The sequence below is a fragment of the Homo sapiens genome, chromosome 15 (assembly GCF_000001405.40).
Source record: "Homo sapiens chromosome 15, GRCh38.p14 Primary Assembly".
Taxonomy (NCBI): domain Eukaryota; kingdom Metazoa; phylum Chordata; class Mammalia; order Primates; family Hominidae; genus Homo; species Homo sapiens.
In genome coordinates this window covers 62,294,973-62,319,707 of record NC_000015.10, presented here as the reverse complement: position 1 = coordinate 62,319,707, position 24,735 = coordinate 62,294,973, and the positions used below count along the sequence as shown (strand labels likewise).

The following is a 24,735-nucleotide window of genomic DNA, read 5'->3' as shown; positions in this document are numbered from 1 at the left end:
TTGGTGTGCTTTTACTACTGGTATGTGTAACTCTTCTTTGGAGGACTGCTTTGAGTTGCTGGGGTCATTTGATCACATGGATATGGAGAGTCAGAAATGCCTGGGACATTCCATCCCTGCAGCCCTCAGCCAACGACTGAGTGGTGTCTGGGTCTGGATCCTGGTTCCCTTGCCTAAGCTCTGGACAGACTCTGAGGCATAACTCATCCTCTAGAGCTCCTCTGCAAAAACAGATTGAAGCTGCCTCTGTAGGATTTGGCTGAGATCGAACCTTTCCCTGTCCTGCTTTCCAGTTCCCTTTCCCGTTTCCCCTGGAAGCACTTCTTTAATAAATCATTTGCTCCTGAATTCTCCTCTCAGCATCTGCTTCTGGGGAACCCAACTTAAGACAGGCAGTTTTTAAAATCCAGGTATCCCTGAGACAATAGTGCTTTATGATGGTAACAAGTCAGCTCTGATCTTTTCTTTTCTTTTTTGAGATGGAGCCTCACTCTGTCGTCCAGGCTGGAGTGCAGTGGCGCGATCTCGGCTCACTGCAAGCTCCGCCTCCCGGGTTCACGCCATTCTCCTGCCTCAGCCTCCTGAGCAGCTGGGACTACAGGTGCCTGCCACCACGCCCGGCTAACTTTTGTGTGTGTGTGTGTGTGTGTGTGTGTATTTTTAGTAGAGACAGGGTTTCACCATGTTGGCCAGGATGGTCTCAATCTCCTGACCTTGTAATCCGCCTGCCTCAGCCTCCCAAAGTGCTGGGATTACAGGTGTGAGCCACCGCTCCCGGCCAGCTCTGATCTTTTAATAATAGTAGTGCCAGCAAAGAGCTGGCCTTGACAAAACTGAATTTAGTATTGGTAAGTTGCAGCGTTTTTTCACTCTCTGGAGAAAGTCTCCTTGGTGTAGGGCACTCTCCGGAAACAGGCCAAGGCTCTTAGGGCTTTATGGATCGGAGGGTGAGAGGAGCATCCTGGAGCTGAGGAAAACTTTGCCGAGGGCTGCCTTCGCCCATTGCGATGGAGCCCCAAGTACATCCCTGGCTCAGAGAAGGGGCTCTGTCAATTATCTGCAGACAACTAGGGGGACCGTCAGGGTCCTAGGCTATGATTTCAAAGCAGAAGAGCTACCCATATTTCTGGCAACTTTTTACCATTACTCCAATCTGATAAGAATGAAATTGCAAATTAGAAGTTCAAGGCTGAATTATTTTAATAATTTTTGCAATGTTTTCCACTATCTTAGTATCATAGCCTATAGCAGTAATTTTAAAAATCCTTTTAGTAAAACAAATGCTTTTAGCAAATGGTCTTTTCCTCTAGGCACACAGGTGTTTTATTCTTAACTATATGATTATTGCTCCATTATAGATATATGAGACATAAACACCTATGTCATGCATGTTTACATTTTATACATATATGTGTGTATATATAACTTATATATACATATATAGCATATATATAACTTTTATATATATATAACATATGTCTATAACTTTTATATATACATATATAACATATGTCTATAACTTTTATATATACATATATAACATGTCTATAACTTTTATATATACATATATAACATATATGTGTATAAAGTTATGTGTGAACCAGTATCATTTATGGAACATAAAGGGAACACGTTTGATTTGAGCAGGGCAAGAGATGCGAACAATGTACACCTTCAGGCATGAGTGAGAAGTGATGGTAGAAGTTGAAAAGTCTGAATAAGTGGAATCAATTCACATTTATGTTAAACAGTCTGGGACCAAAGCGCAAAGAATGTAGTATTAAGTTAAATCAGTACTTAGGGTTGATATTGTAGAGTTTTGTTTTTAAAATGCAAGGAAATCTAGTTGCAAGTTAAAGTCCTAGATGTATGTGATTACTCTTTTTTTTTTTTTGAGATGGAGTCTAGCTCTGTTGCCCAGGCTGGAGTGCAGTGGCACAATCTTGGCTCACTGCACCCATCCTCCGCTTCCTGGGATCAAGCAATTCTCCTGCCTCAGACTCCCAAGTAGCTGGGATTACAGGCGCCCACCACCACGCCCAACTAATTTTTGTATTTTTAGTAGAGACGGGGTTTCACGGTGTTGGCCAGGCTGATCTCGAACTCCTGACCTCGTGATCCGCCCAGCTCAGTCTCCCAAAGTGCTGGGATTACAAGCATGAGCCACTGTGCCTGGACGATTACTCATACTTTTTTTGCTCAGTGTGAGGTTGAGAAAAGGAAAGGGTGTTGATATTAGGTTGGTGCAAAAGTAATTGCAGTTTCTGCTATTCGTTGGAGTTTTTGCCGTTACTTTTAATGGCAAAACCTGCAATTACCTTTGCACCAACTTAATAGTTCATGAATCTTTTTAAAAACAATTTTTCAAAATTATTGTTGTGAAGTATATTACAACTGAGAACAGAAATGCTGTGTAAAGTTCGAAGAATAAAATTGAAGCACACTCCTGCGTCCTCTGCACTCAGCGTTAGAAATAGGATATTTCTAGTACTGTTGAAGACCCACCCTCTGAATTCCCCCTCCTACCTCCATTACATCCTTTCCTCTCTCTTAAGATATAACAGATATCCCAGAATTTGTATCAGTTACTCATTTGCTTTTCTTTATAGCCTTACATCTAAGTATGGAGACTACAACAATATTTTGTTTAGCTTGGTATGTTGTAGACCTTTATATAAATGGAATCACACTGCATGTTTTTCTGTTAACTTTTTTTGTTTCAACATTACTTTTGAGATGTGTTTGAGATGAATTTGTAGTTTATTTAGTTTCATTGTATTCCATTTCCATTGTGTGATTGTGCCAGCTGGGTTCCAGCCAGCTTAGTGTGAGTGAACCTTGCTAGTGCCTTGCCTCAGACCTGTGGCACTAACCTCTTACCTCCTGCCCTAGGTGCTTAATTCTAAAATGTGGAAGAGTTTGCTCCCTTTGGGGTAAGCCTCTAACTGATGGTACGTGAAGGCTATGAATAAATGCTGCCTCTCCTTTTCTCTTCACCATGTACAACCTAGAGATGCATTTTGTACTGCTTCTCAGTGAGGACCCAGGAATCACAGCACCTCTGGCAGCACACAGAATGCACCCTCATGTTGCTCTCACTCCTTCCCTGCTTTGTTCCCTTGTTCTTACTTGCTCCCTGGGGTCACTCTCCAATACAATGCTATGCCTTAGTTGGCTGTGCTTTCTGGGAATCCCAGGGTAAGACACTTTGATTCCATTATAAACATTTACAGCTATACATTTTCTTTTCAGCACCTTCATTAGCTGTAACTCAATATATTTCGATTTGCAGGTTTTTTTGTTTTTGTGGAATGGAGAGTTCTAAGACTTTCCTAATTTTCACTATTATGTTGCATTGACCTATCAATTATTTGTATGTGTTTATATTTTGTAGATTTTGAAAGTTATCTTTTTTGTTATTGATCTCTATCTTAGTTATATTGAGATTAGAGGTTTTTTTCTGTTCAGTACTGATTCTTTGAAATTTATTGAGACTTGTTTTGTGACTTACTACATGGCCAATTTTTATAAATGTTCTCTATGCGCTTGAAAAAGCCTTTTCTTCAGTTTTGTGGGTACGATGTTCTATATTATTGTCCTCCCAAATCTTCTATATACTTGCTGATTGTTTTTCATATGCCTGATCTGTCAATTACAGAGAGAAGGATACTCATATCACTATGATGGCAGATTTGTCCATTTCTCTTGGGCAGTCAATTTTTGCTGCATATATTTTTGCTTTATATCATCAGCCAAAGTTAGCCAGGGCTCAATAATGGAGTTGAGGTCAAGAAAATGATTGTTTCAGCATTTCAAATTACCCTAGGCTGTTTTAAAAAGAAAAAAGTAGGTAAGCCTTAGCTGAACCATTTTCTTTAAAGTAAGTAATGGGTGAACATGTTAAAAAAAAACCCTCATTTGTCTATAGTAAGTTGTTCTATATGAATATATGGATTTTCCACATAACTGAAGTTTAGGCCAATTAAATGTCTAAATCTTTAAAAAAATTAACTGTTTTCTCTCCCCATCGTTTTATTTTGAAAAATTTCAAATCTATATAAATGTAAAAGACTAGTGTAATGAAAGCACATAAAATATGAGCACCTTCTTCAAGATTCACCAGTTATTAATGTTTTTGTCATATCTGCCTCCCCCTCACCCCATATATATTTTTTGGATTGAATCATTGGGAAACAGCTTGCAAGCATCATGATACTTCACCACTGTATGTTTCGGCATGCATCTCCGAAGAACAAAGATATCCTCCTAAGGAACCACAATACCGTTATCACATATAAGAATTTAATATTGATTCAATAGAAAATCATCTATTATATACTCATATTCAATTAAGCCCCAAAATGTCCTTTATAGTTAGTTTTTATTTAAAAATCTGGTATTCAAGTAAATTCCCCATTGCATTAGTTGTAATGCTTTTTAAGATTTAGAACAGGTAACCTCTCCCTTGCCCTGACCCTCAATTTTTTTTGTCTTGTAAGAAATTGACCCTTAGAGTCCAGGCCAGTTGTGCTGCAGAATGTCTCATTGGCTGGATTGTTTGATTGTTTCCTCATGGGTAGATTTAGGTTACTTTTTGGCAAGAATATTATTGAGGTGATATTTCCCTTGCATCATATCTGGAAGCACATGATGTCATTTCTCTCCCATTATTGGTGATGCTATTTCTTTGTTCAGATTTATTAAGGTATAATTTATATATCATATAATCTATCCTTTTTAGTGTATAGTTCCATTACCTTTTTTTTTTTTTTTCGAAATGGAGTTTCACTCTGCTGCCCAGCCTGGAGTGCAGTGGCGTGATCTTGGCTCACTGCAACCTCCGCCTCCTAGATTCAAGCGATTCTCCTGCCTCTGGAGTAGCTGGGACTACAGGCACCTGCCACCACTCCCAGCTAATTTGTTTTTTGTTTGTTTGTTTGTTTGTTTGTTTGAGACTAAGTCTCGCTCTGTTGCCAAGGCTGGAGTGCAATGGCATGATCTTAGCTGACTGCAACCTCCGCCTACCAGGTTCAAGCGATTCTCCCTGCCTCAGCCTCCCAAGCAGCTGGGATTACAGGTGCCCACCACCACACTCAGCTAATTTTTTGTATTTTTAGTAGACACAGGCTGGTCTCGAACTCCTGACCTCAGGCGATCTGCCTGCCTCAGCCTCCCAAAGTGCTGCGATTGCAAGCATGAGCCACCGTGCCCGTCCAATTTTTTGTGTGTTTTTAATAGAGACGGGGCTTCACCATGTTGACTGGGCTGGTCTCGAACTCCTGACCTCAGGTGATCCACCCACCTCAGCCTCCTAAAGTGCTGGGATTACAGGCGTGAGCCTCTGTGCCAACCCCATGACTTTTTAATAAATGCTTATGGTTGCCTAACTATCACTTCAATCTAGATGGAAAATATTTCTACCGTCCCCAAAAGTTCTCATGCCCCTTTGTACTCAATCCCCTCTTCACACCCCCAAATCCAGGAAACCACAGAATCAATTTCTGCCAGTGTAGTTTTGACTTTTCATTCATGTAAAATAAATGGAATCATGCACTATGTAACCTTTTGTATCTTGCTTCTTCCATTTAGCATAATAAGTTTGGGATTTACCCATGCTGTTGCATGTATCAATAGTTCGTTCCTTTTTGTTGATTAGCATTACATTGTATGCATATAGCAAAAGATGTTTATTCACCAACAGTTGATGGACATTTGGGTTGTTTCAAGCTTTTAGTTATGAACCAAGCTCCTGTGGACCTCTGTGTAGACCTATTTACATTTCTCTTGAATAAATACTTAGGAATGGGACTACTGGGTTGTATAGTAAATGTGTTCTTAACTTTATAAGAATCTGCTAAACTATTTTTTTCAGTGGCTGTACCATTTTGCGTTCCCACTAGCAATACATGAAAATTCTAGTTGTACCACATCCTTGCCAGAACTCAGTATTGTCAGTCTTTTAAATTTTAACCTTTCTAGTAGATGTGTAATGGAATCTTATGGTAGGGTGATGCTAATTATATGGTACAGTGGTGTCCACCAGCTCTTTCTATTGTAAATATTCCTTTTTACCTCTGTCATCAACAGATAATATATTTGTGGGCAATACCTTGAGGTCATGTGCATATTCTATTTTATTTCACTCAGTGGCTTTGGCATCTCTGAATAATATTTCCCTGAATTAATTATTACACTGGTGATCGCAAAATAAGTATTTAAGAAAATTCTTTTTCTACATTTATGAACTGATATTCTTTTTAAAATATTGCTTTATTTTTTATTTTTGTGGGCACATAATAGATGTATATATTTATGGGGCACATGAGGTGTTTTGATACAGGCATGCAATGTGAAATAAGCACATCATGAAGAATAGGTTATCCATCTCCTCAAGCATTTATCCGTTGAGTTGCAAACAATCCCATTACACTCTTTAAGTTATTTTAAAATGTAGAGTTATTATTTACTATAGTCACCCTGTTGTGCTATCAAATAGTAGGGCTTATTCCTTCTACTTTTTATACCCCTTAACAATCCCCACCTCCCCCACAACCCCCAACTACCCTTCCCAGCCTCTGATAACTATCCTACTCTCTTAGTCCAAGAGTTCAATTGTTTTGATGTTTAGATCCCTCAAATAAGTGAGAATGTGTGATCACTTAACATAATGATCTCCAGTTCCATCCATGTTGTTGCAGATGACAGGATCTCATTCTTTTTTATAGCTGAATAGTACTCCATTGTGTATCTGTAAAACTTTTTTTATTCATTCATCTGTTGATGGACACTTAGGTTGCTTCCAAATTTTAACTACTGTAAATAGTGCTGCAAAAAACATAGGAATGCAGATATCTCTTTAATATACTGATTTTCTTTTCTTTGGGTATATATCCAGCAGTGGGATTGCTGGATCATATGGTAGCTCAATTTTTAGTGTTTTTTTGAGGAACATCTAAACGTTCTCCATAGTGGTTGTACTAACTTACATTCCCACCCACAGTGTACAGGGGTTCCCTTTTCTCCACATCCTTGCCAGCATTTGTTATTGCCTGTCTTTTTGATATAAGCCATTTTAACTGGAGTGAGATGATATCTCGTTGTTTTGAGTTGCATGTCTTTGATGATCAATGATGTCAAGCACCTTTTCATAAACCTGTTTGCCATTTGTATGTCTTCTTCTGAGAAATGTCTATTGAGACATTTTGCTCATCTTTTGATTGGATTATTAGATTTTTTCCTGTAGAGTTGTTTGAGTTCCTCATATATTCTGGTTATTAATCCTTCGTCAAATGAGTAGTTTGCAAATATTGTCTCACATTCTGTGGGTTGTCTAGTCACTTTGTTGATCGTTTCCTTTGCTGTGCAGAAGCTTTTTAAGTTGATGTGATCCCATCTGCTCAGAAGCTTTTTAAGTTGATGTGATCCCATCTGCTTATGTTTACTTTGGTTGCCTGTGCTTGTGAGGGATTGCTCAAGAAATTTTTGCTCAGACCAATGTCCTAGAGATTTTTCCCCGTGTTTTCTTGTAGTAGTTTTATGGTTTGAAGTCTTAGATTTAAGTCTTTAATCCATTTTGATTTGAGTTTTGTGTAAGGTGAGAGATAGGGGTCTAGTTTTACTCTTCTATATATGGATATCCAGTTTTTCCAGCACCATTTATTGAAAAGACTGTCTTTTCCCCAGTGCATGTTTTTGACACCTTTGTTGAAAATGAGTTCACTTTACGTGTGTGGATTTGTTTCTGGGTTCTCTACTTTGCTGCATTCATCTATGTCTGTTTTTATGCCAGTACCATGCTGTTTTGGTTACTATAGCTCTGTAGTATAATTTGAAGTCAGGTAATGTGATTCCTCCAGTTTTGTTATTTTTGCTCAGGACGGCTTTGGCTATTCTGGGTCTTTTGTGGTTCCATATAAATTTTATGATTTTTTTCTATTTCTATGAAGAGTGTCATTGGTATTTTGCTAGGGATTGCATGGAATCTGTAGATTGCCTTGGGTAGTATGGACATTTTAATAATCAATTCTTCCAATCCATGAATATGGCATATTTTTCCATTTTTTGGTGTCCTTTTCAATTTCTTTCATCAATGTTTTATAGTTTTCATTGTAGAGATCTTTCACTTCTTCAGTTAAGCAAATTTCTAGCTATTTAATTATATATGTGACTATTGTAAATGAGATTTTTAAAAATTTCTTTTTCCCCTTGTTCACTGTGGGCATATAGAAATACTACTGATTTTTGTATGTTGATTTTGTATCCTGCAACTTTACTGAGTTTTCTTATCAGTCCTAATAGTTTTTTTGTGGAGTCTTTAGGTTTTTCCAAATATAAGACCTTATCATCTGCAAACAAGGATAATTTGACTTCTTCCTTTCCAATATGGATGCCCTTTCCTATCATTCTCTTGTCTGATCGCTCTAGCTAGGATTTCCAGTACTATGTTGAATAACAATAATGACAGTTGGCATCCTTGTTGTGTTCCAGATCTTAGAGGAAAGGCTTTCAGTTTTTTCCTATTCAGTATGATACTAGCTGTAGGTTTGTCATATATGGCTTTGATTATGTTGAGATATGTTTCTTCTATCCCCAGTTTGTGAGAGGTTTTATCATGAAGGAATGTTGGATTTTATCAAATGCTTTTCCAGCATCAGTTGAGATGATCATATGTTTTTATCCTTAATTCTGTTGATATGATGTATCACATTGATTGATTTGTGTGTGTTGAACCATCCTTTCATTCCAGGGATAAATCCCACATGGTCATGATGAATGAATTTTCTAATTGTTGAATTTGGTTTGCTAGTATTTTGACAAGGATTTTTGCATCAATATTTACCAGATATTGGCCTGTATTTTTCTTTTTTGGCATATCTTTGTCTGGTTTTCATAACAGGTTAATACTGGCCTCTTAGAATGAGTTTGAAAGTATTCCCTCCTCCTCTATTTTTTGGAATAGTTTGAATAGAATTGGTATCAGTTCTTCCTTAAATGTTTGGTAGAATTCAGCAGAGAAGCCATCAGGTCCTAGGCTTTTCTTTACTGGGACTCTTTTTTTACAACTTCAATTTCATTACTTCTTATTGGTCTGTTCAGGTTTTGGATTTCTTCCTGGTTCAACCATAATAGGTTGTGTGTGTCTAGGAATTTGTCCATTTCTTCTGGATTTCCTAATTTATTGGCATATAGTTGTTCACATCACAGTAGCCACTAATGATTCTGTAAATTTCTGCAGTATCAGTTGTAATGTCTTCTTTTTCATTTCTGATTTTATTTGGATCTTCTCTCTCTTTTTCTTAGTCTGGCTAAAGGTTTGTCAATTTTATTTAACTTTTCAAGAAACCAACTTTTTGTTTAATTGATTTTTTTTATTTTTAAATTTCAGTTTCATTTACTTCTGCTCTGATGTTTATTTCTTCCACTAATTTTAAGTTTGGTTTACTCTTGCTTCTCTACTTCTTTAAGATGAATCATTAGATTGTTTATTTGAAGTTTTTCCTCTTTTTTGATGTAGACATTTATAGCTATAAACTTTCCTCTTAGTATTGTTGCTTTTGCTTTACTTGCTACGTTTTGGTATGTTGTGTTTCCATTATCATTTGTTTTAAGAAATTTTTCAGTTTTCTTCTTAATTTCTTCACTGACCCACTGGTCATTCAGGAGCATATTGTTTAATTTTCATGTGTTTGTATAGTCTCCAAAATTCCACTTGTTGTTAACTTCTAGTTTTATTCCATTGTGGTCAGAGAAGATGATTGACAAATTTCAATTTTTGGATCTTTTAAGACTTGTTTTGTGACCTAACATATGGTTTATCCTTGAGAATGATCTATGTGCTTAGGAAATTAACTGATATTCTTTAGTAAAAAAGAATCTCTTCTCTTCCCCTCCAGCCCGGTTTTATAGTATCTACACAAATGGATTCCTTTTTATCTAGTCCATTATAATCCTTTACTTCATTATTGATTTTGGTGCTCAAACTGCCCTGAAGTTGACCATGGGAGCCTCCTGAACCTGGCTCTTGTGTCCTTTTGGCATGTCTCCATCAGTCTTTGAACGTATCCTCACCTTCTAGAATTGTAAGACTTTCCAGGCTCATCTTATACTTTCCTGGAATCATCCATTGCTCTAAAAAGCCCTGATTCTTTTTAAAGAGGAATCAATATTAAATCCTTATATGTCATAATGATATTGTGGTTCCTTAGGAGAATATCTTTGTTCTTGGGAGATACATGCCGAAACATGCAGAGGTGAAGTGTCATGATGCTTGCAAGTGCCCCAGTTACTGGGATATCATTGCTTTGAAGCCCTTTCAGTGGGTATACCTGGAGTATATGCTATATTTTTTAAAAATATTGATTTTATATTACATCTCCAATTCAAATCCAATACTACAGGGTTCTTTTTCATCTACACTCATTCCAAATTCTCCTACAGTGAGAGGCTTGATATTTTCTTCTCCAAAATATCAATATATTTATTTGTTTTATCCTGCAATTATATACAAAATAGTTTCAGAATTATACTTGTTGCTTTACTAACAACAAACCTACTATGTGAATTCAAGATTTTTTGCAGTTATTTGTGGCCACAAGATGTTACTCACTTAGATTATGTTATTTTCAAAAATTACTTGAATTGATTATACTTTCTCTGGTGTTATGTTAGCAATTTGATATACAATTAAATTGACTTGTGTCTGCATTTAATGTTAGGGTTTGATCCATTTTGAATGTGGAAGACATTTTCTTTCTTTCTTTCTTCTTTTTTTTTTTTTTTTTTTGATGGAGTCTTGCTCTGTCACCCAGGCTGGAGTGCAATGGTGGGATCTCGGCTCACTGCAAGCTCCGCCTCCTGGGTTCACGCTATTCTCCTGCCTCAGCCTCCCGAGTAGCTGGGACTACAGGCGCGCCCGCCACCACGCCCGGCTAATTTTTGTATTTTTAGTAGAGACGGGGTTTCACCATGTTAGCCAGGATGATCTCAATCTCCTGACCTCGTGATCCCAAAGTGCTGGGATTGCAGGCATGAGCCACCGTGCCCGGCAACATTTTACTGGTTTAATAGTGTAGGCCTAATCTTGTTTTCAGCAAGACAACTGATAAATTTCTCATGATAACTTCAGATAAAGTTTTATCTGCTAGAAGTACCCCAACTAAACAGTTGTGGTGTGGGTCAGTCTAATTTTGGAGAAAGGTTTCCAGTGACAACTATAGGACCCAGTGACATTATAGAAACAATTACCAATGCTCTCTTACTAGATGGTAGTAAGCTCCTTTGCAACAGACACTGTCTTTGAATCCCCAGAGCCTAAGAAATGATTAATACATAAAAGCTGTTCAATAAATCTTTATTGAATGAATGGAAGGGTGAACAAATAGATAAATCAGTGGTTGGGAAGAATATCTCCAGAAGCTAAAGTGATGGGTTACCACCAATTGAATTAAGTAGGACTGAATGAAGTGTGACATTTATGTTATAAAAAACAATGTACGTACAAACATAGAGAATGTGGGAATCCTGGCTTAGCAACTATGTAAAAAGATTTTTTTTTTTTACTCAAGATGTTGGTGCTCAAAAAGCTCAACACCTTGATAAAATTATAGAGTTCATTAAATATTTTCTCTGTGTATATAATATCGGGGTAGTCCCACTGCCCATTGCTCTGAAGTGCTGTATCCAATTCCAAGTCACACACTTTTTAAGTGGGACACTGAGGCAGAGGAAGTGCTTTTAGGAGGGTAACCAGGAGGTTGAAGAGTCTGAAAACCACATCCAGGTACTATTATAGGTGATAGAAAATGCTGGGGTAGCTTTCCTTGGAGATGATTTTGAGATGAGATGACATAACAACTCTTCAAATTCCTGAAAGATTGTCATGAAGGAAAAAGATTAGTCACTCTGTGGAGCTTCAAATAGCAGAACTAAGACCAATTCATGTAAGGCATAGAGGCTGACTTCAGCCCAATATAAGAAATTCCTACAGAGTTGAACACAGAGGGAATGAGTCACTTCACATTGATGAGCTCCAAACATGCTGGGGCCCGCGGCATTGTCAGCCACTGCCTGTGTGACCATCTTTCAGGAGTGTTGGAAGGGAATGCCCTGCTTGAATTAGATCAAATACACCTGAAGGAACTGTACAGCTGAAAGAATCCACACTTGAGCCTTCCAGGCTAGTGTCATCAAAGAACATTACTGTTTTCTAGTAACTAGATTTCTCTAATAATGGAGGAACATTTTCATGTACTGACAGGTGTGATTTTTGTGTAATTCACCATGTGGCTCTAAAGAGTGTTTATCAAATTCAGATCACACATACTAATCCTTAAAATACTGCTGAATATACTGCTGTTAGAGCTTCACAATCAATGAGAACATCTTAGAGGGTCTGAGGAGGAAGTTGTTTTAACTTTAACTCAAAATTGCTTAAACATAGTTGTCAACAGAACTAATTTTTTTAATGCTACTATCTCTGCTTCCAAGTTTCCTTGGTAATACTGGCTGCTTTCCTCCTTTTTGCGTCTCCTGCCTCTGGGGTCATCATTTAATGCTGTTTCTAGTGTTTGAGACCGCAGTCTCAAACACAATTTTCTAAAGCAACCACAAGGTGGCTCTGCTAGTCTTACAAAATAAAGCTGCCGGCCTTTCCTGTAACCTCCGTCTCCTAAGGGCCTTGTGCAGGACTGCTCCGCAAGGCCTGGGAGCACTAGGTTACCAGTGTACATGAGTTAAGCTAGAACGACTGCGCCTGACCCAGATGAGTGACGTCTTCCAAAGAGCGTTATAAGTACTGGTGTTTTCTGGTTGTCTCTTCCAAGTTCCCATTTTGAGGATAAATTTCCTTAGAATTCATGAGTGGAACTCTTTTCTTCCAGGTCAGTGAAGAGCAGAAGGCCCTGAAATCTGGCAAGACCCGTTTCCTGCGAAGCCACTAGATCGTTTCAACTAAGTATATTTCATTTCCTTCCTGGTCTGTCAGCAGAGAGAGAGGTGAAGCAGGAAGCTGAGCTGTTGGCACCTCCAGCTTAGCCCTCTGTGCTAATGAGTTAATTCTAATTAGCAGCAGCAGGAACAGTTTAATGGTGTTCCGATCCTGACTGCACCATCATCAAAAAAAAATTGATTTTTGCAGGTGTATGCATTTTAATGAATGGGAAAAACAAGCATTGTCCTCAAAGCTAAGAAAGGGATATTTCTCACTGAGTCGAAAGAGCTTACACCAGCTGTGCTGCGGGCGGGCAAGAAAGGTTAATGGTTTCCAAGGGCTCTCAGTGTCCTTTGGTTCCCGATTCTAAGATCTATGTGTACATAGACGGTACCTTCAGATATCTTCAGAAAAATCTCTCTGCTTCTTTGTATCAGCTCCTTCTGTGTTGCCCACTGTGTTCTTCCTGGGTAAGTCCTCCCCGAACTTCAGAATTTCATCCATTCATTCATTCACTCATTCATTCACTCATTCAGTAGAAATATTTACACCTACTTTGTGTACAGTACATATGCTACATGCTATAGTTATTGATTGATTGATTGAGACGAAGTCTCGCCCTGTCACCCAGGCTGTAGTACAGTGGCACGATCTCGGCTTACTGCAACCTCCGCCTCCCAGGTTCAAGCAATTCTCCTGCCTCAGCCTCCTGAGTAGCTGAGATTACAGGCACGTGCCACCACACCCAGCTAATTTTTGTATTTTTAGTAGAGATGGGGTTTCACCATGTTGGCCAGGCTGATCTCTAAATACTGACCTCAGGTGATCCACCCACCTTGGCCTCCCAAAGTGCTGGGATTACAGGCGCGAGCCACTGCCCCCGGCCCTATCGGCGATCTAAAGATGAATTCCCGTCTCATGGAGGTTGGTAAGGGGGGCAAATACACAAATACATGAAAAGTAACAAGTTATGAGCCAAAGGTTGGACAGGACAAGGAATGTGTGCTGAATATGGAAATTTCACCTTGTGGATTCTCAACTAGAACGCTGCATTATGAGGTCGGAGAGAACTCTGTAGAATTCTCTCCCAGAGGGTTATCTATGTTCAGTCACCATTTATTCTTTTTAAATTGTCTGAAGTTCTCAAAGAGGTGGGAGGGAAAGGAGGATCAGTGGTCACATCATTGCTTATCCCTGGGGTTCCAGGAAGGATGTTACCGACAAGAAGGTAATAATACCTGGAAGAGGACTTAGAAAATGTGACAGAAGTAGAGGCTAGCATACTGGCTGACCAAAGATATTTTCTTGATATTTCTGCCCAGCAGGATATATTGGCTCTGGAGTTATTTTTTGTCTGTCTTCAAATGAGATTTTAAAAAGTTATTCATAAAAATTGTCAACATACAAGAATAGTATAATAAACATGCATATTTCCAACAGGAAGATTCAACAGTTGCTAATATTTTGCCACATTTGCTTTGTCTACCTGTGTGTTCCCAAAATATCTCTTAAAGATGTTTTCCCTCTGAAACTAGCATCCAATTAAAACTCATGCATTGGTTCATTGGTTGCCACATCTCTTTAGTCTCTTTTAATATAGGAGAGTTTTTTGTTTTTTTGTTTTTTGTTTTTTTAAGACAGTCTTGCTCTGTCATCCAGGCTGGAGTGCAGTGGTGTGATCTCAGCTGACTGCAACCTCCGCCTCCCGGGTTCAAGCGATTCTCCTGCCTCAGCCTCCCAAGTAGCTGGGATTACAGGCATCTGCCACCACGCCCAGCTAATTTTTGTGTTTTTAGTAGACACAGGGTTTCAGCATCTTGGCCCAGCTGGTCTTGAACTCCTGACTTCGTGATCCACCCGTCTTGGCCTCCCAAAATTCTGGTATTACAGGCGTGAGCCGCCGCACCTGGCCAACAGTTCTTTGTAAAAAAAAAAAGACTCTTTGAAGAGACCATGCTTCAATTGTCTTACACATTATGGAATGTCCCTTATTCTGGATTTGTCTGTTGGTTTCCTCTGATGTCTTAAAACTTGCCCTACTATCCTTCTGTGTTTCCTAGAAACTGTAAACTTAGTCATAAAGATGATCCTGAGTGCACAGTCTTTCTTGAGACTTTCAGCCAGTAATGAAAGACAGACAAGTGTTAGCAAAGGTGTGGAGAAATGGGAACCCTCATATATTGCTGGTGGGAATGCAAAATGGTGCAGCCGCTCTGGAAAAATAGTGTGTCTATTTCTTTAAAAGTTACAGATAAATTTATCATACAACTCAGAAATTCCACTCGTATCTACCCAGGAGACATAAAGACATATGTCCACACAAAGACCTGCCCATGAATGTTCGTAGCAGCATCGCTTTTAATGGGCAAAAAGTGGTAACAAGTCAAATGTCTATCAACTGATGTATGAATAAACAAAATATAGTATATCCACAGAACATTGTTCAGCAATCAAAATTAATGAACTATTGTGATTCCTCAAAATATTAAAAATAGAACTACCATGTGATCAAGCAATCTCACTTCTGGGTGTATATCCAAAACAATTGAAAGCAGTGTCTCAAAGAGATATTTGCACACCCATGTTCATAACAGTATCATTCAAAATAGCCAAGAGATAGAAGCAACCCAGATATTCATTGATGCATGAATGGATAACCAAAATGTAGTATATACATGCAGTGGAATATTTTTAGCATTAAAAAGGAAGGAAATTCTGTAAATTCTGTAAATGCTACAACATGGATGAAACTTGAAGATGTTAAATGAAATAAGCCAGTCACAAAACGACAATCATTATATGATTCCTCTTATATGCGGTATCTAAAGTAGTGCTTTATGCCCTTTTTAGTCTGAGTCTGGCTATGGTTCTGCTGGTCACCTCTGGGGGTTTCAAGAGCCCGTTCCACATCTGCATTAGTGGTTGTGGCCTCTGGAGTCCTTTCCTAAACTGTTGCAAGCTGAACTGATCTTAGGACTCATGAGTTGATCAGTTCAGCTTGCAACAATTTAGGAAACTTCACTGGATGCATGGTTAGCTACAGTGACAGCCTGACTCAAATGAGCGCTTTTTGTCACAGGTTTAATGTAGCCGAAAGCCCATGTGCCATATTGAAAACTCCTCACAACCGCATCCTAGCTAAACTTCACTTCCATCATCATAATAACCCAGACACAAGGATAAGCAAGAAGGCATTATTTAGAGGAGAAGTGGGGATGTGATCTTCATCCCCAATTCAGACATGTGTGTTCTTTCATGTTTCATTTGGTTATGTTTTCTTCCTGTGGGTGCATGTGATTTGTCACACACCTGCCTCTATGAGCACTGGAAATGTCTGTGAGGAGACCTGGTAGCTCCTGACACCTTGACATCAGAAATAATTAGGAGTTGTTCCAGAGCATTGCATCAGATGATAAGCTAAATATTGGAAATACAAAGCCTCTAGCCCTGATAGGGTAAAGGTAACAGAGCCCAGCTCTAACTCTCCAGCTATGCCTTTGATTATGAGGAAGGTATATGAATATTTATAAGACTTTAAAAAAGAATTTGGATTATCATCAGATGGCTTCAAACACATGTAATGTTAAAATGTTCTAAGAAGAAGACTAAGGGAAGACAAACACTGGCCAAGGCAGGCTTTATTTAGTCCATTTCTCTGACCCATTAAATTTATACTGAGTTGCCTCAGTATAAATTTCCTATTTCTGTTATTTACTCATGTAATCTAGGGTCAGTCATACAACCAGGGAAAGTATGAAAATATATTCTAATATGCGGCAGGTTCTGACCCATCAGAGGGATGGTCCCCAAGATTCCTGCTGTGCTAGGCATTAATTCTTCAGTTGGTGAATTGTAGTGAGGTCTAGGATGTCCTGGGAGAAGGTCTAGGACAGCCAGGGGCAAAGAGAGGCTTTGGGACAAAAGCTTGAATAACTATTAGCAGAATAACTCAGAAGATTTGGGGCAACAGTTATTTATCACCTGGTTTGGATTTTTTTTTTTTTTTTTTAACAATTGGTATGGCTACACTAGTGCATAATGGCCACGTATAACCTTTCCATGGTTCTGTTCCTAATCTGCAGAATGGGGATAATATCCAGGCTGCCTGCCTTGTAGAGTTGTTGAACCTTATATATAGATATTCTCTGAGCACAGTAAAGCCTGTAAAACAGAAATACAGAGTAAGAGTTTTTGAGAGTAATTCCTTCCTGCTGGGGGGTGGGAAGCTTTCCCAGCTGGTGAAGGTTCTCTGGGGCTGAGGTTGTTAGAGGGCCAACTCCAATCTGAGATTACACAATATTCAAATAAAACTAAGGACTAAAAATAGACAGTGGGATTGGCTCTCTAGGAGAGCACTTCAGACAGCTCCTGGGGCCAGAGTATGGAAGACCAGGACTGAGGCTCCAGGAAGAGGAAAGAATGACCCCTTCCATCGCTGGGGCTGTCTCTGATGTCTGGATCCTTTACCTGCTCCCTGTAGGGTGATTTGGTGTGCGTGAATGAGGGATGGAGGGGAGAAGAAACCCATGTTTCAACTCTGATCCCATCAGGAGGTAACTGTTTTCTGTCAAAGGGAGTATAATTAAAAGAGTCTGACTTGTAACCGGAACTCATTAAATATTTGATAATTAACTCTGTAGTAGTACTAGCAGGACACAGGAGAACACAGGACAGGACACAGCACTCAGAGACAGGGAGAAAGCAACTAACTATTAAAATGGAAGATAATCCATTGATGGGAACAGGTAATTAGTGGCAGGCATGTTTCAGAGCATGTTGAAACAATGCAATGTCTTTATATCTCTCGATTCATTTATTTAATACAAAAATTCATGGCATCTTATGGTAGATGAGGATGTATTTATCTTACATGATGCTGCCATCACCCTGTCCTTCTCATATACTTGTCTTAGTCCGTTTTGTGCTGCTAAATCCTGGCTCAGTCACTTACTAGCTGCGTCTCTGGACAAGTAACCTATGTGTCAAGGGTTGTCAGACTTAGCAAATAAAAATACAGGATGCCTAATTACATCAGAATTTCTAATTGTCCATGCATATATGCACTCAGATAATAAGAAAATATTGTACAGAACATACTTTAACAATTACTTGTTTATTTGAAATAAAATATCAGTATCTAAATTACATACCTCTTTAATTGTATTTCTCCAATGATTTGGCTCTCATTAATGGTTCTTTGTTTCGTAGAATGTGCTTATAAAATTCCTTACAGTTACAGTCTAAGTTCCATTTACATTGCAACACAGCTTCTACAGTTATCATATGCAACTCACTTTATTCTTTTGTCCACTGAACCTTCATTAATGAGAAAACATACGCAACATTAGCATGATGAGCCGGTATACTGGGCATGTACTGGCATAAAGTTAACAACCCAGAGAGCTTCTCTTCAAATATGATTTGTTGAAGTATATAATACCATCTTTCATGGTATTGCTTTCCTACTCTTTAGGATTACATTGCATCTCTTCATCAACAACTTTTAAATAATCCACTGACAAAAAAGAGCATTGATATCAACTTTTATTTTCCTCTTCTTCAATGCTACATATAAAAACTTCACTTGCTCACAGGCCAGAAGTGCATGTAAAAGAATAGAGTTCTCCAAGGGCTGATACCATTTCAAAAGATAGTCATGGCAAGTGCCATAATAATTATCCACTTTAAGTAGGAATTTATTTTCCCGTTCTTAAGTAATATTGTTTTTTTAAGAACAGCCTTGACACTTAAAGGGATAATTTTTGGTCAATATTTTCTTTAATGTACTCAAGAAGTTCTTTTAAGCTCTGGAGTACTTCAATAACACTGTTTTCTTCAGTTTGCATGATCCTATTGCTAAAAGAGATATTAAAAATTAGGAACTAGAAATTAATAGGCTTCTATGGATTGTTTAAAGAGTCAGCTGCATTTGTTCAAGAGAGCTAACAGGGTTTTGGATGAGAGGGAATTGAAAAACTGTATCAGGTCTGCAAGACCATCCTCACCCTCAGAAATGTACTAGAAGATGGCTTTAACCATTCTACGACGTAAATGTTCTTCAGAACATACTGTTCTATACAATAAAACATACAGTGTTATCTGTCGCCTAAAAATAATAAATACTTTTTTTTTGAGACAGGGTCTTGCTCTCTTGCCCAGGCTGGAGTGCAGTGGCATGATCATAGCTCACTGCAGCCTTGACCTGGTCTCAAGTGATCCTCCTAGCTTAGCCTCCTGAGTAGCTGCAATTGTAGGCACACACCACCATCCCTAGCTAATTTTTATTTTTTTGTTTGAATTTTTGTTTTTAACTTTTATTTTAAGTTCAGGGGTACATATGCAGGTTTGTTATATAGGTAAACTTGTGTCATGGGGGTTTCTTGTACAGATTATTTCATCACCCAGGATTAAGCCTAGTATCTGTTGGTTATTTTTTTCTGTTTTTATAAAATGAGATTTCATACTTCTATATTGTAACTCACAAGAGGAAATATTTTTCTGTTGCATTCCAGAACACATATACACGCAACCCCCAAAGTTTCATAAAACAATACTTATCCTGCAATATGTAATGCATTAAAAATTTTTCTTGAAAAAAATGCTGGTTGCAAACCGTGAATGGTTGCGATCCATGGTTTGAAAAGCACAGCTCTAACACAGGTAACATTTATAAAGCCATACCATAGCCAGACACTATACATTCACATTTATTACCCTCGTTTAATCCTTCCATCAACTTCATGATTTAGATTATCATCCCCGTTTTACAGATGAGAAAACTGAGGCTTAAGGAAGTTACTGCTCAAGGTCACATTTTGGTAGTAAGGTGTGGTAGTAAGTTGCCAAGCAGGGATTTGAACCAAAGACTGAAGCTAGGAACCAAATGCTTGGTCACCAGACTATATGGCCTTAGCTGCAGAAATTCAGGGCATACTCATGTCCTTGGTAGAGCACTCGGATCCCCCAGAAGAGTTTTGGCAAACATTCCTGTGCAGCGCTTGTCATCACTCCTTGGATCCGCTTCATTTGCTCTTCGTGTGTGCGCGTGTGCGAGGACAGAGCGGGATCCCTGGGGGCCACTCTGCTTCGCTATGGCCATCATACTGCTCAAGTCGGCAGGGATGTTTTCTTGAGGGAGAGGGTGGGAAAAAGAGGATTTCAGTTTGAGTGTACACTGGTCTGTGGCTTGTTTCTGCTTCACTATGATTCTTTATCTTTTATGAGGTGATACTAAGTCAGATATGTATTTAAAGGATATAAGAAAAAGCCACGTGGGTGTTGAAGTTCACAGATGGGAAGCAAAGATCAGGGCATGTGCACGTATCCAGGGTGCTAACATGTACCTGGCTCTAAACTACTCACTGACCGCCGCTCCCATCTGGAGGTCCATTGGTTCTACTCTTTTCTCTTTCCCTTCTGGGCTGGTTCTTCACCTAAAGGGCCCTTGGTCTAGGGATGGGTTCAATTGATGAGACGCACAAGGAGTGGTAGGCAGGCTAATAATTTGGATCCACTTCATACAGACTTTTCACTGATGTCTTGGCAGTCATTTGTTGGGGAGGCCGCAGATGATGAGGGAAGGAGGTCTCAGCGGCTTCTCAGCAGTGGGAGCATATGCCAGTCTCACAGTCAGCCCACTCGACTGCACAATGCTGAGCTCAGCAGCACACAGGACCCATATCACCAGCGGGCATCAGGGGCCACCTGGAGTGTGACCCCTGCAAGCCCCAAGTGGATTTTCAAACTTGAGAGTTAGTCAGAATCACCTGGAGGCTGTTAAAATACCAACTGCTGGGCCCCACTCTCAGTTTCTGGTTCAGTAGGCCTGGAGTGGGGACTGAGAACATGCATTTCTTTTCTTTTCTTTTTTTTTTTTTTTTGAGACAGTCTCGCTCTGTTGCCCAGGCTGGAGTGCAGTGGTGCAACTCGGCTCACTGCAACCTCTGCCTCCCTGGTTCAAACCATTCTTTTGCCTCGATTTCTGTAGTAGCTGGGATTACAGGCTCTTGCCACCATGCCTGGCTCACCATGTTGTCCAGGCTGGTCTTGAACCTGACCTCAAATGATCCACCCACCTCAGCCTCCCAAAGCGCTGGGATTACAGATGTGAGCTACAGCGCCCAGCCAAGAATGTGCCTTTCTGACCAGTTCTCAGGTGATGCCGATGGATGTTGATGTTGTTGGTCTGGGGACCTCAAGAAAAGCAACCTTGAGGAGGATTCTAGCAAAGTCTCTCCACATTTCTTTGATATTTACGGGCTCCTAGATGGGGCCCCTTCTCTCTACTGGCTGGCTCACCCTTTAAGCTGATGTGCTGCAAGTCTTGAAAAGAGAGAAATAAAAAATCCATTAGTCTGGCTGGGAAAGCCCCACCCAGCCTCGCAGAGAGGAGTTTCTGTGTGATTCCAAACTCACACAGGTGTTTAAAATGTTTGTTAATTTACTTCACGTGAGGTTGCAGTGAGCTGAGATTGTGCCACTGCACTCCAGCCTGGGTGACAGAATGGGACTCTGTCTCAAAACAAACAAACAAACAAACACGCAAATTTACCCCACCTGAAAGGTTTCTGCATCCGGGGTTGGTGGATTCTAACTACCTAAGCGGCCTAGCCACATGACCAAAAGCTGGTAATATTTTGGGCTCTTTCAAGAGGGGAAGTACAGGGCTGGGCACAGTGGCTCATACCTGTAATCCCAGCACTCTGGGAGGCTGAGGCAGGACGATTGCTTGAGGCCAGGCATTTGGGACTGGCCTGGGCAACATAGTGAGACCCTGACTATTAAAAAATAAAAAAAAAAAATAGCTAGGCATGATGGTACATGCCTGTAGCCCTAGACACAAGGAGGCCAAGGCACAAGGAGCACTTGAGCCCAGGAGTTCAAGGCTGCAGGGAGCTGTGATTGTGCCACTGCACTCCAGCCTGGGAGACACAGCAAGACCTTGTCTCAAACAAAAAAGAAGTACAGTATGAAAAGGACAGTATAGTATGAAAAGGAGACTTAGCACATGCACTTCTACCCAAATGTACTTTGTGTACATGATGTCACCAAGCCCATTCAAATATGCATAGATTATAGATTTGCTTGCGCCTAAGCCTTTTGCATATTCAGTCTGGTTGCTATGATCACAAACCTGAAGTTGACAGAAGGAAAGAAACCTGGGGATCAACTAAACCAACAAGGTGCATCTTTATTTTTCACTCCCACTCCCCAGAGCCCAGGTTCTGAAAGACTGTGGCTTCTACTCATTCATTTCCCATGAATGCACCAATCAGCACTATCAGAACTCCTCTGCCCAAGCCAAAAGCTGGGGCTGCCTTTGTGCAGAAAGAGGTCCTCTTTCATTACATCTGGAAATACTGAGGAGAGCTCAGGGGTGCTTTTTCTTCCTGCGTGGGAACCAGCTGGGAACCAATCAATGGGCTGCAAATGACGGCCACATTCCTCTGTCACTGTGCCCTCAGCAAAATGTTATCAGTCTCAGTGAAAACGGAATAGGAAAAATGCGAGGAGCCTTGAGGTATTCCTATCTTCTGAGTGCAGCTGGCTTGAGAGCTGAGGAACATTCATTCTTTCTAGCCAAAGGCCTATAAAAACCCAGAGGTAGAATCCTAAGGGATGTCTGAAGGAACCCCACTCTATGGGAAAGGTAAACATACTATGCACAAGTTTAAAGGATTCATTTCTATTTTTAGGACTCAGAAATAAAATTCAATGCATCTCCATCACTACTGACTGCATTCCTTAGAAATGCCAGTGGGAAAACAACTAACCTGGCGCACTGTAAAGAATGCCCTTGAAGATGGAGTATTATCAACCTCTCTCCCCTAGGGGAGGGCCAGAGCTACAGTGCTGCTGTAGTCATTGAATACAATCACACTTCTTTCATATACCTAAGTGAACCGTTTCCCTCGCATCCGTGTGAAGAGACCACCAAACAGGCTTTGCGTGAGCAATAAAGCTGTTTATTTCACCTGGGTGCAGGCGGGCTGAGTCCGAAAAGAGAGTCAGCGAAGGGAGATAGGGGTGGGGCCGTTTCATAGGATTTGGGTAGGTAAAGGAAAAAGGGGGGTTGTTCTCTGGCAGGCGGGAGTGGGGGTCACAAGGTGCTCAGTAGGGGAGCTTTTGAGCCAGGATGAGCCAGGAGAAGGAATTTCACAAGATAATGTCATCAGTTAAGGCAGGAACAGGCCATTTTCATTTCTTTTGTGGTGGAATGTCATCAGTTAAGGCAGGAACCGGCCATCTGGATGTGTATGTGCAGGTCACAGGGGATATGATGGTTTAGCTTCGGCTCAGAGGCCTGACAAACCGTAAATTTAAAAATGTTTTAAAAATGCATATTGAAAACAAATGCTATCAACTTGATCTGAAACAGCATTCTTTTTTTAAATCTTAGCATCTCAGCCTTGCCTGTAGAGCATGAAGAGCACCGAAGAGGTGAGTTAAAGTTAACTAACTCAGAAAAGCTCTTAGGAAAGCCCATCAACACAAAGGAATCGATTCAGGCTGCAGAAAGCAAAGGAGACAGACCTGGTGGGGTAAGCCAATTCAGGAGAGGGACCATAGGCTGGGTGCAGTGGCTCATGCCTGTAATCCCAGCACTTTGGGAGGCCGAGGTGGGTGGATGGCTTGAGGTCAGGAGTTGTAGACCAGCCTGGCCAACATGGCGAAAACCTGTCTCTACTAAAAAACACAAAAATTAGCCGGGCATGGTGGCTATTTGGAAGGCTGAGGCATGAGAATTGGTTGAATTCAAAAGGTGGAGGTTGCAGTGAGCCGAGATCGCACCATTGCGTTCCAGCCTGGGCAACAGAGTGAGACTCCATCTCAAAAAAAAAAAAAAAAAAAAAAAAAAAAAAAAAAGGACAGGCACCATAAACTCCTTTAAAACCAAAAGAATAAGATAGCCTCATTCAAGAGAAGGAGCAATGAAATAAACACCGAACCAGAGAAAACTCCAGTAGACTGTGGACAGTCGGCTATCCCCTAAGGGTAACACTGCCAGAGAGGAGAGTTAAATCAGAACAGGTTTTGGAAAAATTGTGTTGCATTTTGTTTCCATGTGGAAGCACTGACAGAAGTGAAAAGGCAGCATGCTCCATTTACTTTTGTGAAAAATCACATGGCTAGATTTAAGGGAGGAGACCATCCCTCATATTGTCTTATGCCCAATTTCTGCCTCCAAAGAAAGAAGTAAAAACTAAAAGGCAGAAATGAAATCGACAAGCAGACAGCCCGGCGCCACACCCTGGGCCTGGTAGTTAAAGATCAAGCCCTGACCTAGTCGATTATTTGCATAAAAAAAGCACTGTGAAGATCCCTGTCCTGTTGTGTTCGGTTCTAATTACCGGCGTATGCAGCCCCCAGTCATGTACCCGGTGCTTGCTCAATCGATCACGACCCTCTCACGCGGACCTCCTTAAGAGTTGTGAGCCTTTAAAAGGGACAGAAATTGCTCACTTGGGGAGCTTGGTTTTTGGAGATGTGAGTCTTGCTGAATGAAGCTCCTGGCCGAATAAAGCCCTTTCTTCTTTAACTCAGTGTCTGAGGGGTTTTGTCTGCGGCTTGTCCTGCTACAGATTAACTTTCTCCCTACCCAGGGCAGGATTGAATAAACCTTACCTCCTACCTCCACCCAAAGCAAAAGCTACAAAAGGGGGTTTGTGGCAACAGCTTAAAAAACAAATCAAGGTATGAGAATTCCCAGATGGTCAATCATTGTATTTGTTATTTTTGCATTTGGAGGGCACTCCCTACCTCTGTCACCTCTCCCCACCATCACCACCTCCTTCAAACAAGAGTCA

General features: G+C 40.2%; 1 non-coding gene across 1 annotated transcript, besides 2 other annotated features; it reads left to right on the top strand.

Moving 5' to 3' along the window:
• The first annotated feature begins 14,973 nt into the window (after positions 1–14,973).
• Positions 14,974–15,050, top strand: MIR8067 (microRNA 8067). Its single transcript, NR_107034.1, has one exon. It is a non-coding gene; the product is annotated as a microRNA 8067 (primary transcript).
• Positions 22,604–22,898: a silencer, noted in NCBI's record as "tiled region #8292; HepG2 Repressive non-DNase unmatched - State 22:ReprW". NCBI's record gives its function as "represses a minimal TATA promoter and a strong SV40 promoter by Sharpr-MPRA in HepG2 cells {active_cell/tissue: HepG2}" and the evidence as "EXISTENCE:reporter gene assay evidence [ECO:0000049][PMID:27701403]".
• Positions 24,014–24,527: an enhancer, noted in NCBI's record as "OCT4-NANOG-H3K27ac hESC enhancer chr15:62587380-62587893 (GRCh37/hg19 assembly coordinates)". NCBI's record gives its function as "activates a minimal SCP1, AML or CMV promoter by ChIP-STARR-seq in primed H9 embryonic stem cells {active_cell/tissue: H9 hESC(primed)}" and the evidence as "EXISTENCE:reporter gene assay evidence [ECO:0000049][PMID:30033119]".